This window comes from Homo sapiens, chromosome 1 (genome assembly GCF_000001405.40).
Source record: "Homo sapiens chromosome 1, GRCh38.p14 Primary Assembly".
NCBI classification, from domain to species: domain Eukaryota; kingdom Metazoa; phylum Chordata; class Mammalia; order Primates; family Hominidae; genus Homo; species Homo sapiens.
In genome coordinates, this window is record NC_000001.11 from 36,269,125 (window position 1) to 36,286,150 (window position 17,026).

General features: G+C 42.1%; 1 protein-coding gene across 19 annotated transcripts in view, besides 1 other annotated feature; it reads left to right on the forward strand.

Moving 5' to 3' along the window:
• THRAP3 (thyroid hormone receptor associated protein 3) overlaps positions 1 to 17,026 on the forward strand; it is a 97,721-nt gene that overhangs the window by 61,488 nt on the left and 19,207 nt on the right. For all 19 annotated transcript variants that reach the window (XR_007065302.1, XR_007065301.1, XM_047436227.1 and 16 more), the window contains one exon: positions 13,409 to 13,576. Coding sequence is in view for 17 of the 19 variants with exons in the window: in XM_047436227.1 (XP_047292183.1) it covers positions 13,440 to 13,576 (137 nt within the window). In the remaining 2 variants the exon portion in view is untranslated. The remainder of the gene's footprint in view (positions 1 to 13,408; positions 13,577 to 17,026) is intronic.
• Positions 284 to 578: an enhancer, noted in NCBI's record as "tiled region #2392; HepG2 Activating DNase matched - State 5:Enh". NCBI's record gives its function as "activates a minimal TATA promoter and a strong SV40 promoter by Sharpr-MPRA in HepG2 cells {active_cell/tissue: HepG2}" and the evidence as "EXISTENCE:reporter gene assay evidence [ECO:0000049][PMID:27701403]".

Below are 17,026 nucleotides of genomic sequence, written 5' to 3' on the forward strand. Positions count from 1 at the left end.
GAGGGCATGGACTTTACTGGCATCCCTTAACCCTCCAATTTCTGAACACACAGGAGTGTTTTTGCTGATTTTTGTTGGTGGTGATGGTGAAATTTGCCAGGCTGGTTCCACTGGTTCTGCAGATGCCAAACAAACAGTTGAAGCGAGCTCACTTTTTTTTACAGTGGATTTCGGACACCATAGAGTTAGAAGCTGCAGCCTTTTGGGGTTGCTAATGAAAAAAAGTAGCTTACTATGTATTTTCTCCCCTCTCGTGATACTTTTCTCAGTGGTTATGAAGTATTCTCATGTCTAAAAACAAGTTGATGGAAGAGCCTCCACTGGGAATGACATTTTGGACTACTTCATGTCCTGTAATTGGGGGAGAGTTTAAGGTTGTACTTTGGAGTTTACTTTAGATGTGTTTGAGTTTGAGTTAGAATGTTATTTGCTGTAACTGATTCTCTTTTTAGATGTATTTGCAGAGCACACACGTGGAAAAGCACATAACCCAGGCTGTTGTGCAGTGGAGCAATCATTGCTCACTGCAGCCTGGACCTGGGCCCAAGCCATCCTCTTACCTCAGCCTCCCAAGTAGCTGGGACTGCAGGAGCTCACCATCATGCCCAGCTAATTTTTTTTTTTTTAAATCTTCTGTAGAGACAGGGTCTCACTATGTTGCCCAGGCTGATTCGACATCCTGGGCTCAAGCAGTCCTACCCCTCAACCTCCCAAAGTGCTGGGATTACAGGTGTGAGCCACTGTTTACAGCTGCATGTCTCTTTTTTTAAATAAAGTCTTTTTTAAGGAGGAAAATACACAAAAGGAGCTGCAGAAACTGGCTTTATCTATCCACACTTGTTCGGATTTTGACCAAGAATACAGTCTGCCTGCAGAGTATTGATAATGTTTGAAGCTGGATGATGGAAACACTTGGGTTCCCTATACTGTTCTTTCTACTTTTGTGTATGTTTGAATCAATACTTCTATAATAAAATAAACAGGCTGGGCACATTGGCTCATGCCTGTAATCCCAGCACTTTGGAAGGCTGAGGAGGGAGGACTCCTTGAACCCAGGAGTTTGAAACCAGCTTGGGCAACATGGCGAGACCTTGTCTCTACAAAAAATACGAAAAGTTAGCCAGCTGTAGTGGCACATGCCGGTAGTCCCAGCTACTCAGGAGGCTGAGGTGGGAGGATCGGTTGAGCCAGCCAGGGAGGTTGAGGCTGCAGTGAGCTATAATCGAGCCACTGCACTCCAGTCTGAAACAACAGAGTGAGACCCTGACACACACACACACGCACACAGGCACACGCACACGCACGCATGCCTGCTCTCGCAGCTATAAGACAGGCCCTTTTAAACCTTCTTTAAAGTCATAAAAAGGCAAAGTAGATTTACTGTGAGAAGATTTCCAAAATGGACATGGACTCTAAATAATTAAAAATACAGTTCTATTTGTTTAGGTTTTTGTTTTTTTTTTTTTTTTTGAGACGGAGTTTCGCTCTTGTTGCCCAGGCTGGAGTGCAGTGGCGCAATCTTGGCTCACTGCAACCTCTGCCTCCTGGGCTCAAGTGATTCTCCTGCCTTAGCCTCCTGAGTAGCTGGGATTACAGGCATGCCCCACCACGCCTAGCGAATTTTGTATTTTTAGTAGAGATGAGGTTTCTCCACGTTGGTCAGGCCGGTCTCCGACTCCCGACCTCAGGTGATCCGCCTGCCTCGGACTCCCAAAGTGCTGAGATTATTACAGGTGTGAGCCACTGCGCCCAGCCAGGTTTTTTTAATATCAGAAAAAAGCAGGTAGATGTTTGATTTCATATTAAAAATAAAATAATGTACACAACTCATGGAATGTTAACTTTTTTTTTAGAATAATGGGGGAGAAATCTCTGCCTAAAAAAATTAAAGTAAGAAGCAAGTGCTCCTGCCCTTTCTTCCCGTCTCATATCCCTCCTTCTCCTGTTCCCTTCCTGTTAGCTTCTTTCTGCTCTGCAGAAATAATCACTGATAACAGTTTGCTGTATGTCCTTATATAGATATGTCTTATATGTATGTCTGTAACTACAGATTTCATATTTTTAAAGTAAGTTCTACCAAATTCCACAGAATTCAGTATTTAAAGTTTTAAGAATTTCAGTACCAAGTTCCAGGATAATTTTGTTTTCATAACACAGGCAAATTTTTTTTTCCCCCAAGATGGAGTCTCATTCTGTTGCCCAGGCTGGAGTGCAGTGATGCGATCTCTGCTCACTGCAACCTCCGCCTCCCGGGTTCAAGCGATTCTCCCGCCTCAGCTTCCTGAGTAGCTGGGATTACAGGTGCATGCCAACACACCTGGCTAATTCTTGTATTTTTAGTGGAGACGGGGTTTCACCATGTTGGTCAGGCTAGTCTCGAACTCCTGACCTCGTGATCTGCCTACCTTGGCTTCCCAAAGTGCTGGGATTACAGGCATGAGCCACTGTGCCCAGGCTTTTTCTTATCTTTTTTTTTTTTTTTTTTTTTTTGAGATGCAGTCTCTTTCTGTCGCACAAGCTGGAGTGCAGTGCAGTCTTCGCTCACCACAACCTCCACCTCCCGAGTTCAAGCAATTCTCCTGCCTCAGCCTCCTTAGTAGTTGGGATCACAGACGCATACCACCACACCCGGCTAATTTTTGTATTTTTAGTAGAGAAGGGGTTTCTCCATGTTGGTCAGGCTGGTCTTGAACTCCCAACCTCAGGTGATCAGCCCGCCTCGGCCTCCCAAAGTGCTGGGATTACAGGCGTGAGCCACCGCACCCGGCCTAATTTTTGTATTTTTAATAGAGATGGGGTTTTCCCATGTTGGCCAGGCTGGTCTGGAACTCCTGACCTCAAGTAATTCACCCCCTTTGGCTTTCCAAAGTGCTGGGGTTACAGGCCTGAGCCACTGTGCCTGGCCCTGGATAATTTTTTTATTTTTTATTTTTTTTGTAGAGACAGGGTCTTGCCATGTTGTCCAGGCTGGCCTTGAACTTCTGGACTGAAAAGCAAGCCTCCTTCCTTAGCCTCCCAAAGTGCTGGGATTACAGGTTTGAGTCACCACGCCCAGCCTGTATCTTTAAATGTTTTAAACAGTTAAATTAAATGACCATTCTCCCCAGAGGGACATCACCCCCACTTTTTAGGAGAGTACCCAATGCACATTTGGATATTCTTTTCTATAAATTGAAGACCTTAGAATTGAAATTAGTATTTACTGATTTACCTTACTTAATAACTTGAGAGCCACTTAATAGCAGAGTACATGTCATGAAGGGGTCTCTGATTTGATTTATTCAGGGATGGGGTGGAGTATGAGGCCTTGGCAGAGTGTTACTCTAGAGATATCACAGCTGCCCTCTATTCTGTTTCTGTGTCTTTTACTCAGGAGATGATGACCTCCAGAGAAAAGAGTAAAATAGTAAACATGTTTCATATTTCACCTGAGCTCAGCTTTCCTCCCATAACTGTCCAGAGGCATTCAGAACGCAAGTCAGGCCCACCCCACTGCTTTGTCTAAAACGCTTTATGGGTGGTGGTATTTCTTTCTTGGTATTTTTGTCTGTCTTATCTCTATCAGTTGATGGCTTGTTCACCAAGAATTTCCTACTTCTTCCCTTTAGTGACTGTTGAAAGCATGGCTCTCCTGACTGGATGTTGGTGGCAGTGAAGTTTTGTTCAAACGTGGCACTAGTAAATGAAGTGTGTCTCCCTAACGAGATCAGTTTGGTCTTATGTGCCTTTGAATAAGGTGTAGAAGGGATGAGAATGATCTCAATTTCTAGGTTAGCAGAACTGTGATACATACATAATTTTATTCCTTGACTGTATTGTTAATATTTGATAAACTGATTTTTAAAATTATTGTTCCTTCTTGTGAAGAGAATGGAGATTGAAGAGGAAGCGTGAAAGTGTGTTTATTCATTTAACAAGTACAAAGTGTCCACTCTGTGGCTAAACGCAAAGCACTGAAGATGAAATGGAGAACAAATCAGATGTGGTCTCTGGTTCATTTTGTAGCCTCCTGGGTTTGGTATCCTGAATTGTTAAACTTATTTAGTTAACTCTTTTTTGTTACCTAACAGTCATCGAATGTAGCATTATCTAATCTGGAAAAGCATGCTGTCTTCTCAGCAGAGTAGAGACTTCGTCCTGAGGCCTGGTTAGAGGGATAAGGAGCGCAGGCTCACATGGAGTCAGTTCTCGGGAACTTTTCCCATTCTTTTAAGACAAGAAAATCTCAGTAGACACATTTCAGTGAAGTCCAGCACCTTCTCATTATAAAAATAGTCAACAAAGTAGAAGGGAATTTCCTCAATATGATAAAGGGCATCTATGAAAAATTTACAGCTAACATCATACTTAAAGGTGCAAGACTGAATGCTTTCTCCTTAAGATGAAGAACAAGACCAAGACAAGGCTGTCCACTCTCACCATTTTATTTACCATTGTGTACTAGACGTTCCAGCCAGAGCAGTTAGGCAAGAAAATGAAACACGAGGCATCTAAATTGGTGAAGAAGTAAAATCATCTCTTTTTGCAGATGGTGTAATCTTAAATAGAAAAACCTAAGGATTCTACTAAAAACCAATTAGAGCTAATAAATGAATTTAGCAAGGTTGCAGGTACAAGATCAGTATACAAAAATGAGGCCAGGCATGGTGGCTCACACTTGTAATCCCAGCACTTTGGGAGGCCGAGGTGGCAGATCATTTGAGGTCAGGAGTTTGAGACCAGCCTGGCCAACATGGCGAAACCCCATCTCTATTAAAAATAAAAAAAAATCAGCTGGGCGTGGTAGCACATGCCTATTATCCCAGCTACTGGGGAGGCTGAGGCAGGAGAATTGCTTGAACCCAGGAGGTGGAGGCTGCAGTGAGCCAAGATCACGCCACTGCACTCCATCCTGAGCAACAGAGCAAGACTCCACCTCAAAAAAAAAAAAAAGACTGTGTGTGTGTGTGTGTCACACACACACACACACACACACACACACACAGACAAAATGAGCTGTATTTCTATACAGTAGCAATGAACAATAAGAAAATGAAATTGTTAACAAGTGAAAATCAATCGTAAGTAATTTCATTTGCAGTAGCAACAAAATAATATATTTAGGAATAAATTTAACAAAGGCCAGTGTAAAACTTATATTCAGAAAACTGAAACATTGTGGAAAGACATTTCATGTTCATGGATTTGGAAGACTTACTATTGTTAAGATGGCAGTATTCTCCAAATTGATCTACAGATTCAGCACACACACTGTCAAAATCCCAGATGGTCTTTTTGCAGAAATTGGCATGCTGATTCTAAAATTCATATGGACATGTACCTAGAATAGCCAAAACTATTTTGAAAAAGAGAAAAGTTGGAGGACTCACTTTTTTTTATTTAAAAATGTACTATAGCTACACTAATTAAGACTGTGGTGTTGACATAAGGAGAGACAGACAGGTCAGTAGAATAAAATTGAGAGTCCGGAAATGAATCCTTACATTTATGATTAATTGGGCTTTTTTTTTTTTTTTTTTTTTTTTGAGTTGGAGTTTTGCTCTTGTCACCCAGACTGGAGTGCAATGGTGCGATCTTGTCTCACTGCAACCTCTACCTCCCGGGTTCAAGTGGTTCTCCTACTTCAGCCTCCTGAGTAGCTGGGATTATAGGCACGCGCCATCACGCCCAGCTAATTTTTGTATTTTTAGTAGAGACGGGGTTTCACCATGTTGGCCAGGCTGATCTCAATTTCTTGACCAAGTGATCCACCCGCCTTGGCCTCCCAAAGTGCTGGGATTACAGGCGTGAGCCACTGTGCCCGGCCAATTAATTGATTTTTGACAAGGGTGCCAGGACAATTCAGTGGGGAAAGAATAGTCTTTTTTGGCCGGGCGCGGTGGCTCACACCTGTAATCCCAGCACTTTGGGAGGCTGGGGCAGGGGGATCACGAGGTCAGGAGATCAAGACCATCCTGGCTAACACGGTGAAACCCCGTCTCTACTAAAAAATACACACACACACACACACACAAAATTAGCTGGGCATGGTGGCAGGCACCTGTAGTCCCAGCTACTTGGGAGGCTGAGGCAGGAGAATGGCATGAATCTGCAAGGCGGAGCTTGCAGCAAGGTAAGATCGCACCACTGCACTCCAGCCTGGGCGACAAAGCGAGAGTCTGTCTCAAAAAAAAAAAAAAAAGTCTGGGTGTGGTGGCTCACGCCTGTAATCCCAGCACTTTGGGAGGCCGAGGCAGGTGGATCACGAGGTCAGGAGATTGAGACCATCCTGGCTAACATGGCGAAACCCTGTCTCTACTAAAAATACAAAAAACTAGCCAGGCGTGGTGGTGGGCACCTGTAGTCCCAGCTACTTGGGAGGCTGAGGCAGGAGAATGGTGTGAACCCAGGAGGCGGAGCTTGCAGTGAGCTGAGATGGCACCACTGCACTCCAGCCTGGGTGACAGAGCAAGACTCTGTCTCAAAAAAAAAAAAAAAAAAGTCTTCTTTTTTTTTTTTCTTTTGAGATGGAGTTTCACTCTTATTGCCCAGGCTGGAGTGCAACAGCATGATAAGAATAGTCTTTTCAACAAATGGTGCTAGATCTAGATAGCCACATGCAAAACAACAAAGTTGGACTAGGTGTGGTGGCTCATGCCTGTAATCCCAACACTTGGGAGGCCGAGGTGGGTGGATTGCTTGAGCCCAGGAGTTCCAGACCAGTCTGGACAACATGGGGAGACCCCGTCTCTACAAAATACAAATATTAGCCAGGCATGGTGACACATGCCTGTAGTCTCTGCTACTCAGGAGACTGGGGTGGGCGGATCACTTGAGCCCAGGAAACTGAGGCTGCAGTGAGTTGAGATTGCACTACTGCATTCCAACCTGAGTGACAGAGTGAAACCCTGTCTCTAAATAAAGTTGGACCCATACTTGACAACATTCATAAAAATTAAATCATAATGGATCATAGACCTACATAGTGCTAAAACTAGAAAACCCTTACAAGAAAACCTGGGAGTAAATCTTTGTGACCTTGGGTTAGACAAAACCTGCTTAGACATGTCACACAAAGTACAAGCAACAAAAGAAAAACAGAGTTCAGCAGAGTAAAAAAAAAAAAAAAATGTGCTTCAAGGCTGGGTGTGGTGGCTCACACCTGTAATCCCAGCACTTTGGGAGGCCAGGCAGGCGGGTCATGAGGTCAGAAGATTGAGACCATCCTGGCTAACACGGTGAAACCCCGTTTCTACTAAAAATACAAAAAATTAGCCAGCTGTGGTGGTGGGTGCCTGTAGTCCCAGCTACTCGGGAGGCTGAGGCAGGAGAATGGTGTGAACCCGGGAGGCGGAGGTTGCAGTGAGCTGAGATCGTGCCACTGCACTCCAGCCTGGGCAACAGAGCCAGACTCTGTCTCAAAAAAAAAAAAAAAAAAGGTGCTTCAAAGGACAGCATCAAGAAAGTGTAAAGCTGGGCATGGAGGCTCATGCCTGTAATCCCAGCACTTTGGGAGGCTGAGACAGGCAGATCACCTGAGGTCAGGAGTTTGAGACCAGCCTGATCAACATGGTGAAACCCCGTCTCTATTAAAAATACAAAAATGAGCTGGGTGTGGTGTTGCACCAATGTAATCCCAGCTACTCGAGAGGCTGAGGCAAGAGAATCACTTGAACCGGGGAGGTGGAGGCTGCAGTGAGCCGAGATCACGCCACTGCACTCTAGCCTGGGAAATAGAGGGAGACTCCATCTCAAAAAACATAAATAAAGAAAAAAAGTGAAAAGAAAACCTACAAAATGGGAGAAAATACTTGCAAGTCATACATCCAATAAGGGACTTGTATCCACACTTTTTTTAATTTTTATTTTATTCTTATGTTTTGAGATGGAGTTTCATGCTTATTGCCCAGGCTGGAGTGTAATGGCACGGTCTTGACTCACTGCAACCTCCGCCTCCCAGGTTCAAGTGATTCTCCTGCCTCAGCCTCCTGAGTAGCTGGGATTACAGGCGCCTGCCACCACGCCTGGCTAATTTTTGTATTTTTAGTAGAGATAGGGTTTCACCATGTTGACCAGGCTGATCTCGAACTCCTGACCTCAGGAGATCTGCCCACCTCTGCCTCCCAAAGTGCTGGGATTGCAGGCATCAGCCACTGCACCCAGCCTCACATTTATTTTATTTTATTTTTTGAGATGGAGTCTTGCTCTGTCACCCAGGCTGGAGTGCAGTGGTGTACAGGCAGCTGCCACCACACCTGGCTACTTTTTGTATATTTAGTAGAGATAGGGTTTCGCCATGTTGGTCAGGCTGGTCTCGAACTCCTGACCTCAGGTGATCCACCCACTTCAGTCTCCCAACGTGCTGGGATTACAAGTGTGAACCACCACGCCTGGCTCACATTTATTTATTTTTTATTTTGGAGACAGATAACGTGCTTTGTCACCCAGGCTGGAGTGCAGTGGCACAAACATGGCTCACTGCATCTTCAACCTCCCAGGCTCAAGCAATCCTCCTGCCTCAAGTCTCCCAAGTAGCTGGGACTGTGGGCATGCACCACCATGCCTGGCCTTAAATTTATGGTCAGTTGGTTTTTGAAAAGGGTGAAAAACCAAATGAGTTTTTAGATGTATGGTCAATTGGGTTTTTTAAAAAATTATTATGATTATTATTTTGAGACGGAATTCAGCTTTTGTCACCCAAGCTGGATCGCAATGGCACAATCTAGGCTCACTGCCACCTCTGCCCCCCAGGTTCAGTCGATTCTCCTGCCTCAGCCTCCCAAGTAGCTGGGATTACAGGTTCCTGCTGCCACACCCAGCTAATTTTAGTATTTTTTTTAGTAGAGAGGGGGTTTAACCATGTTTGCTGGGCTGGTCTTGAACTCCTGACCTCAGGTGATCCACCTGCCTTGGCCTCTCAAAGTGCTGAGTGGGGTTACGGTCGTGAGCCCAGCCCCCCTTTTTTTTTTTTTTTTTTTTAAGACGGAGTCCTGCCTTGTTGCCCAGGCTGGAGTGCACTGGCGTGATCTTCGCTCACTGCAACTTCCACCTCCTGGGTTCAAGTAATTCTCCCTGCCTCAGCCTTCTGAGTAGCTGGGATTACAGGTGCCTGCCACCACATTTGACTAATTTTTGTATTTTTAGTAGAGACGGGGTTTTGCCATGTTGGCCAGGCTGGTCTCAAACTGCTGACCCCAGGTGATGTGCCTGCCTCGGCCTCCCAAAGTACTAAGATTACAGGCGTGAGTCACTGCACCAGGCTTCAATCGGGTTTTGACCGTAAATGTAAGGATAAATTTTTTTAAACACAATTGTGTTTTAAGTAAAACGCATCTGTTTTCAAGATCAAGGACCATTGATCTGCTTGGTAATTAGACAAGTAGTTTGAGTCAAGAAGGCTTGGGCTTCTGAAAAGGATGATGGGCTTGTGCTACCCTCTCAAGTGTCTCTGCAGAACAGTTTGAAAACAAATTCTTTCTCCTAGTGACAGAATTATATCTGAAATCAATTCAAAAGGCTGTTTGAAATTCTGTCCTTGTGCCAGGCGTGGTGGATCACGCATGTAATCCCAGCACTTTGGGAGGCCGAGGTGGGCGGATCACGAAGTCAGGAGATCGAGACCATCCTGGCTAACACAGTGAAACCCCGTCTTTACTAAAAGTACAAAAAATTAGCTGGGCATGGTGGTGGGCGCCTGTAATTCCAGCTACTTGGGAAGCTGAGGCAGGAGAATCACTTGAACCCAGGTGGCAGAGGTTGCAGTGAGCTGAGATCATGCCATTGCACTCTAGCCTGAGCAACAAGAGCAAAACTCTGTCTCAAAAAAAAATAAATAAATAAAAATAAAATAAAATAAATACATAAATAAAATAATTAGTTTCAATTCATGTTAAAGAGGAGGCTCCGGGAATGGGAGTCGGGGGGCGTCACAGTATTGCAGCTCTTGAGTGCACTTGTCAATTCTGGTAAGCTTAATATGTGCAGAATTGTTAAGTTTGGCTCTGTTTGTATTTACATGGCAGCTTTTCTTCATCTTAATGAAAATTAGCTTCTTAGTTTTCTAGTTTCTGAGTGTTGAAATGAGTGTTTCCTTTTCCACTAACTTGTTGCCCTTTTTTATTCTTTTAAAGTCTGATAATATCCACCTGTTGTGTAAGTCATCTGGATGGATTTTTATTTCTGACCCAAGTTAAAATAGAATGTTAGACAGTCTGTTACTAGGCAGACATAGATAGATATCCCTGAACTTGTGACAGAAATAAAGGTCTCCATTTGGCAAGAGTGAACCCAGAGAACCCCAAAATAATGCTTAAGAACAACCAAAAAAACAAAATGTATTTTTATTTTTAATATTCTCATTGTAAATTGTTTGTTTATACCTCCACCTCCCACTCCTGAATAACTTACTCCTTTATTCTGACTTCATATAGTGACACTACTGCCAAAAATAGCTCCAAATTGAAATATCTTTGACCTTGCTAGAGCTTGCAACAGTGTGATCTTTTTGGCAGGATTAAAACCGTGGGTTCTTGGCATCCTCATCTAGCAGTCTTTTACTCATCACCTTTTGTCTCTGACTTCTTATTAGTTTCTCAGTTCTCCTCTAAATTATGTCTCTAAGATTTTGCTTGTTTCCCCTGTGAGATGGAGCTATAGCAGCTTCCTAGGCGTTTTTTGTCTTTTGGAAAGTTCTTGAAATTCAAGTATTTTATTTGAATATAACAAAAATAAATACTACCTTTCAGTTTATCTATATCTTGTCACCTTTATCAGATTGTAAACTTGGTAAGGGTGGACACTTGGCATTCATTGGTTCCATAAGTTCGTTAGTACCCCTTGTATGCCAGACACTGCTCTAGACAGGCAATATAACATAGTGGTTAAATGTGCCAACGGTGAGGCTGGGCGGGGTGGCTCACGCATGTAATCCTAGCACTTTGGGAGGCCAGGGCAGGAGGATCCATTGATCTTAGAAGTTTGAGACCAGCCTGGGCAACACAGGGAGACCCCATCTGAATGAATTAATGAATGAGCAAGTCGATCGTGGTTTGGATTTTGGCAGTATGACCTTGGGCAAGTTAATTACTTTCTCTATGCCTCAAAATTCTTATCTGTAAAACGGGATTAAAAATGCCCTCCTCAAGGATAAAATGAATTAATAAAAACACTGGTTAAGCATTTGCTATTCTGGGCGTTGGGTATACAGCACTAAATAAAGAAAGATGAGGTTTCTGTTGTTATAGAGCTTACATTCTAATTAAAGACAGAATAACAAGTAAACAAGATAGTTTCACATACTGAGTTTTGCTCTGAAGAAACAAATAAGATACATACTGGACCTAGAGAATGACTGGTGGCTATTTTTGACTGGGTGGTCAGGGTGAACCTCTGAGGAGATAGCTTTTGAGCTGAGATCTTCAAATTCTGAGGGGTAGGAGGGGAGAAATATTTGATTATTATTTTCCCTTCACAGACAAGAGGCAGCATTACTTGGCAGAATCTCGCTAGGCAGCAAAGTGTGATAGAATAGGCCCTGGAGTTTGGGCCTGGTTTGGCTATTAATTAGCTTTGTGATCTTTGATAGATTCCTTACTCTTACTGTCTTTGATAGACATGTACTTTAGCACTTAAAGTTTTTACTGCTGGGAAGATGTCCAAGGCGCTAATAGAGTATAAAGGAGAGAAGTATACCTTGTAGACCAGGCGTTAACCTCTCAGGGCAACTTAGAGGCGCTCTTCTTTCCTGGAGGGGGAAAAAAGGAAAAAGACTATTTGTTTCTTGGTGGGAAAATGACCCTGAAAGAAAGTTGACTCTTTATTTTTATTTATTTTTTTTTTTGAGACGGAGTTTTGCTCTTGTCGTCCAGGCTGGAGTGCAATGGCGCGATCTTGGCTCGCTGTAACCTCTGCCTCCTGGGTTCGAGAGATTCTCCTGTCTCAGCTTCCTGAGTAGCTGGGATTACAGGCACCCGCCACTACTTTTAGTAGAGATGGGGTTTCACCATGTTGGCCACGCTGGTCTTGAACTCCTGATCTCAGGTGATCAGCCCACCTCAGCCTCCCAAAGTGCTGGGATTACAGGCGTGAGCCACCGCCCCCAGCTGACTCTTTTGTAATAAAGAGCTGGAACAAATTGATGGTTCTTTATGACTAGATGTGCCACATACTCTGTAACTAAGTTAAATTGCATGCGGTTTCTTCTCTTGGAACTAGGAAACCTGTCTCACATCTCCTCATTACTTTTATTAACAGCTGACTTTAGTCTCAAAGCTTCTTTGCTTACTGAGAAAAGACTGCATGCACCAAAATTAATAAGCACCCTCATTCTTGGTCATCTCTTACAGTATTACCCAGTTAGGGTTACATGTCAGGTTTTCCATTTGCTGCTGTGGCTTGGTCTGTTTGGGATTTGTACTACTAAGAAATTCCTTTTGATGAAAGAGCAGAGTGGTTTTTAAAAATCAGTCATTTCATCTTTTTTTTTTTTTTAATGTTACTTTCTGTTTTTAAAGTTTATTTTATTTAAACAGTTGTTTTTTTTGTAGAGGTGGGGGAATCTTCCTATGTTGCTTAGGCTGGTCTCAAAATCCTGGCCTCAGGCCATTCCCACCTTAGCCTCTGGAGTAGCTAGGACTACAGGCCCTTACCACTACATCCAGCTAATTTTAAAAGTTTTTACTTTGTAGGCCAGGCACGGTGGCTCACGCCTGTAATCCCAGCACTTTGGGAGGCCGAGCCGGGCAGATTACCTGAGGTCGGGAGTTCGAGACCAGCCTTACCAACAAGGAGAAACCCTGTCTCTACTAAAAATACAAAAAAATTAGCCGGGCATGGTGGCCCATGCTTGTAATCCCAGCTACTTGGGAGGCTGAGGCAGGAGAATTGCTTGAACCCGGGAGGCGGAGGTTGTGGTGAGCTGAGATTAAGCCATTGCACTCTAGCCTGGGCAACAAAAGCAAAACTCCTATCTCAAGAAAAAAAAAATTTTTTTTTTAACTTTGTAGACACGGGATATTGCTATGTTGCCCAGGCTAGTCTTGAACACCTGGACTTAAGCAGTCCTCCTCCTACCTTGGCCTCCCAGTGCACTGGGATTACAGGCGTGAGCCACCGTGCTCAGCCACTTTCTCTCTTTTTTTTTTTTTTGGAGATAGGGTATTGCTCTTTCCTCCAGAGCTGCAGTGCAGAGGTGTGATCACAGCTCACTGTAACTTTGCACTCCCTCCTGTCTTAGCCTCTCAAATAGCTAGGACTACAGGAACGCACCACTGTGACTGGCTAATTAAAAAAAAATTTTTTTTTTTTTTTTGTAGATATGGGGTCTTCTCAAGTTGCCCAGATTAAAAGAAATGTGTTTCTAAAATGTCCAAAGAGGTTCACATTTGCAAAGGAACTCACTCATTTGTTCTAATGCATTTTCTTACATTAGGTGTAATTGAAAAGTGATCCTCTCTTCAGAGATGTCAAAAACAAACAAATCCAAGTCTGGATCTCGCTCTTCTCGCTCAAGATCTGCATCAAGATCTCGTTCTCGTTCATTTTCGAAGTCTCGGTCCCGAAGCCGATCTCTCTCTCGTTCAAGGAAGCGCAGGCTGAGGTAAGGGGGTGTGACTTTGTATATTGAGATAATCATTGCATCAGTCGATGTGGATGTTTGAAGATCTTTTGTTAGACTTTTCCTGTGAGTGTCAAATGGACTGGGGGGTTGGCTTGAGGTGCAGGGTTGGGCTATAAGATATTCCAGGTCTCTTTAAACTACAAATCCAGATCAGCTTTGACTGCCATGCTGATTGCCTGATTCCTTTCCTCTGCCAGCACATAGTATTTCCCACCCACTTTGGAAGAAAGAACATTTTATTTTTATTTGAGCTGCTTGCTTCAAATCTCTATAGCTGATTATTTTTCACCAAATTATTTTTGAAGGCTTGAACCAAAGTTTATGTGCATCACTGCAAAGAAAGGATAGCTAAGAGGATTAATAATATGAACAACATGGCAAGGAAAAGAAGCTTCAACTCACTAAAATAAACTTACAGAAACTTATCAGGAGTAATTTGTATACAATGTGCCAATTACTAACAAGCTGCATCTGTTTAGTAAATGTATCTTAAAACTTTTTAAAAATCGCTATTGAAAACATCACTTTATCTTACTGAATATGAGCACAGTTCTTTTGAATTTATTGCCAGTATTTCCTAATTCAGTCAGTTTTCACACCTTCAGGTGGATTTCCCTATTTTAATTATGTCTTGGAATAGGATGCCAAACCTCCAGCGTCTTTCCTCTCTTGGTGTGTTGTGAGTTGGATTTTTCATTCTTTAAAAGTGTTTAAACTTTCTTTTGTGGATAGATAAGAAGCTTTCAGTAAATAACAAGTTTCTATATGTGAGTTTGGGAAATATTGGTGTATTTAAATTGGTGTGCTGAAGAGGAATCTTTGTACATTTTCATTCTTTTTCCCACAAGTACATTAGCAAGGAGATGATTTGTCATGTTTGACACTTGGAACCCCTGCTGTTTATTTCAGATGAGTATCTAGAATCCTTGTCTTAGATGAATTGATTAGCTGTTTATTTCAGATGAGTATCTAGAATCCTTGTCTTAGATGAATTGATTACGACATTTAAAATAAACCTCAGAAGTCAGTGATTAAACTTTTACTCTTGATGATTTCCAGAGCCCTATAGTACTTCTAAGGGGTCTATTAAACAAAGGATTAGTAGTTTTGTTTTTTTACCATTTAACAAAAACAAGGTAGATATTAAATGGAGTCTATGAGAAGCCAGCCTGAAAAAGCAGGTATGCATAAATATTGAAAAGGGAAACCCTAAATTTATTTACCTCAGGAAATTGCTTTTAAAGCCATGGGACCAGCAAGACTCTTAGTAACTCCTACCCTGTACCCAGAATCTTGATTTAGGGAGTTTAAACCTCAGTTTTAGCTCATTTGGTTATGAAAGATACCTTTTTAAAATTTAATCTAGTAACTAGAAGAAACTAAATAATTGGTTCAACACCAAGAGGCTATGCAACCAAAACTGAGAGACAAAATTGAATTGAAAAATGTTAACCAACTCTGAAGTATTTATGACAGCTGGAATTCCGGGCAGTTCTTTTCTCCTTGTTCTGCAAATCATTTGGCACTTGCTCACTGACTTGGCAAATGAGGAAAAAATATTTTAGGAAGGCAGTATGTGCTGGGGTAGGTCTAGAGACACTTTACATGCTATCATATACCTAGAAGAGACTTTTCTGGAGGAATTTCTCCACTAGAAAGTATGCTTTTATAATTGATTGTAATCTGACTTCTCTGTTTTTAGAAACAGATAAATTTGCCACTGGATGTTCAGTTTTTATTTCTGGCTTATCTGTTTCATGGTTTTTTCTTTTGTTTTCCCTCTCCTGCAAGGAAAGTATCTATCCAGAGAGTTTGAGAAACCATGCCTTTAAATTAACTAACTGCTGAGTTCTACAGAATTGGAGAAAATTGATTATTTCCTTGTATTTCACAGACTGTATCCTTTTAAGTGACATCTCTTAAATAACTTCATTTGCAATCTGCAGAGACTCATTTTCCTGCATCTGTGCAATGACTGTGAGTTTTGGATGCAGTATGCCCAGGGCCCTCACTAGTAATTGGTAACAGAAGCAGCAGTAGCCTGTGAGGATGGGAACATGAATTAAACCCTCCTTAGTGCTGGTGGTGGATCACCTCCCTCAAGCATAGCCCTTTAATCGGGTTGTATTCACTTTCATAATCTGCATCTGCCTCTCCCTTCTTTTCTTATATTGTTACTGTTTTCAAATGAAAAGTGTGGAAGGTAAGTTTTTTTTTAATTGTACTTAATTACAATAACAACCAGCAGTAAGATATATCTTTGCCAGTTGCTCTTATTCATGGTGTAGATAAAAAAATCTGAGTACAGTGGGCAATAAATAGTGGAAAACCAATCCCACTTTATCTTTAGATTAAATTGAATGTACTTTCTTCTTAAAAATACTGTTTTGTTTAGTTGTTAAATCCTGAAAAGAAACTAGTATATTTGCTAACTGGAGTTATTTGGAAAAAACAAAAATGCATCTGTTCCCAGTCAGATATGAGAAAGCCTGCTGATTAACTGAAGAGTTTTTATTCTATATGTAAAGAAAATATTATTTGAAAGAGTTTTCTAGTAAATTTTACTTATTTGTAGCCAGCTGCTTAGGAGTAGTGGTTAATGTCAATGATCTATATCATAGTAGATAGGAAAAGTGGATCCAAGAACCCCAATGGGTTTTTACACCAACATACGTAATTTTTGGCTTTTTGATGGAAACAAAGTTTCTCATCATTGACAAGCCTGACACTCAGGAATGTACAGTTAGGTTACTATCAAGTCTCTGTGGTTCTGGAAATTCATCTTGCTCTACCAGAGTTATATATTGTTAAATGGAGAAGAACACAACACTAGCCTTCTGTGCACACCGGGGTGGGGGTGTTTTTTAGTTACTCTTTGCTAACTTCATGCGTCCTTGGGTACTTTATGGTCCGATAGTGCCCTCTTGTGGCACCTAGTTAAGATCATGTAGCTCAGCCACAGAAATATGACCTAAGTAGTCAGACCATTTCCATTTTAAAAAACAATATTTTATGTTTTGCTTATGTGATTTTAGTAAGTTCTTTTAAGCTTTGAGCAGATGCATTCTCCCAAGTTTTCTTTGGTGTGTACCTGTTGTAACTATACTTTTAACGATCCCAAGCCTTAGTGGTATCTTAAGAAGTTCATCCCGCACAAGGGGGAGAGAGCTGACTAGGATAGGGTGTGGAGTGTTACCACATTGTAGATAGGGGTCAGAGTACCTGTCTAGGTACCACAGCTCACAGTTTTTCTCTCGTTTCCAATGACCTGGAGCCCTGTTAAAATCCCCGTGCCTGTGAAACTGTAAGCTATTATTATGGTATATTAAAATGGTCTTTGTGTGGTTTACTACCTTAAGAAAATGTTGATAGTTTTTCAGTCACTGTAGAAGTACACCTCCATTTTAAATGTGCTGCAATATGAATGAA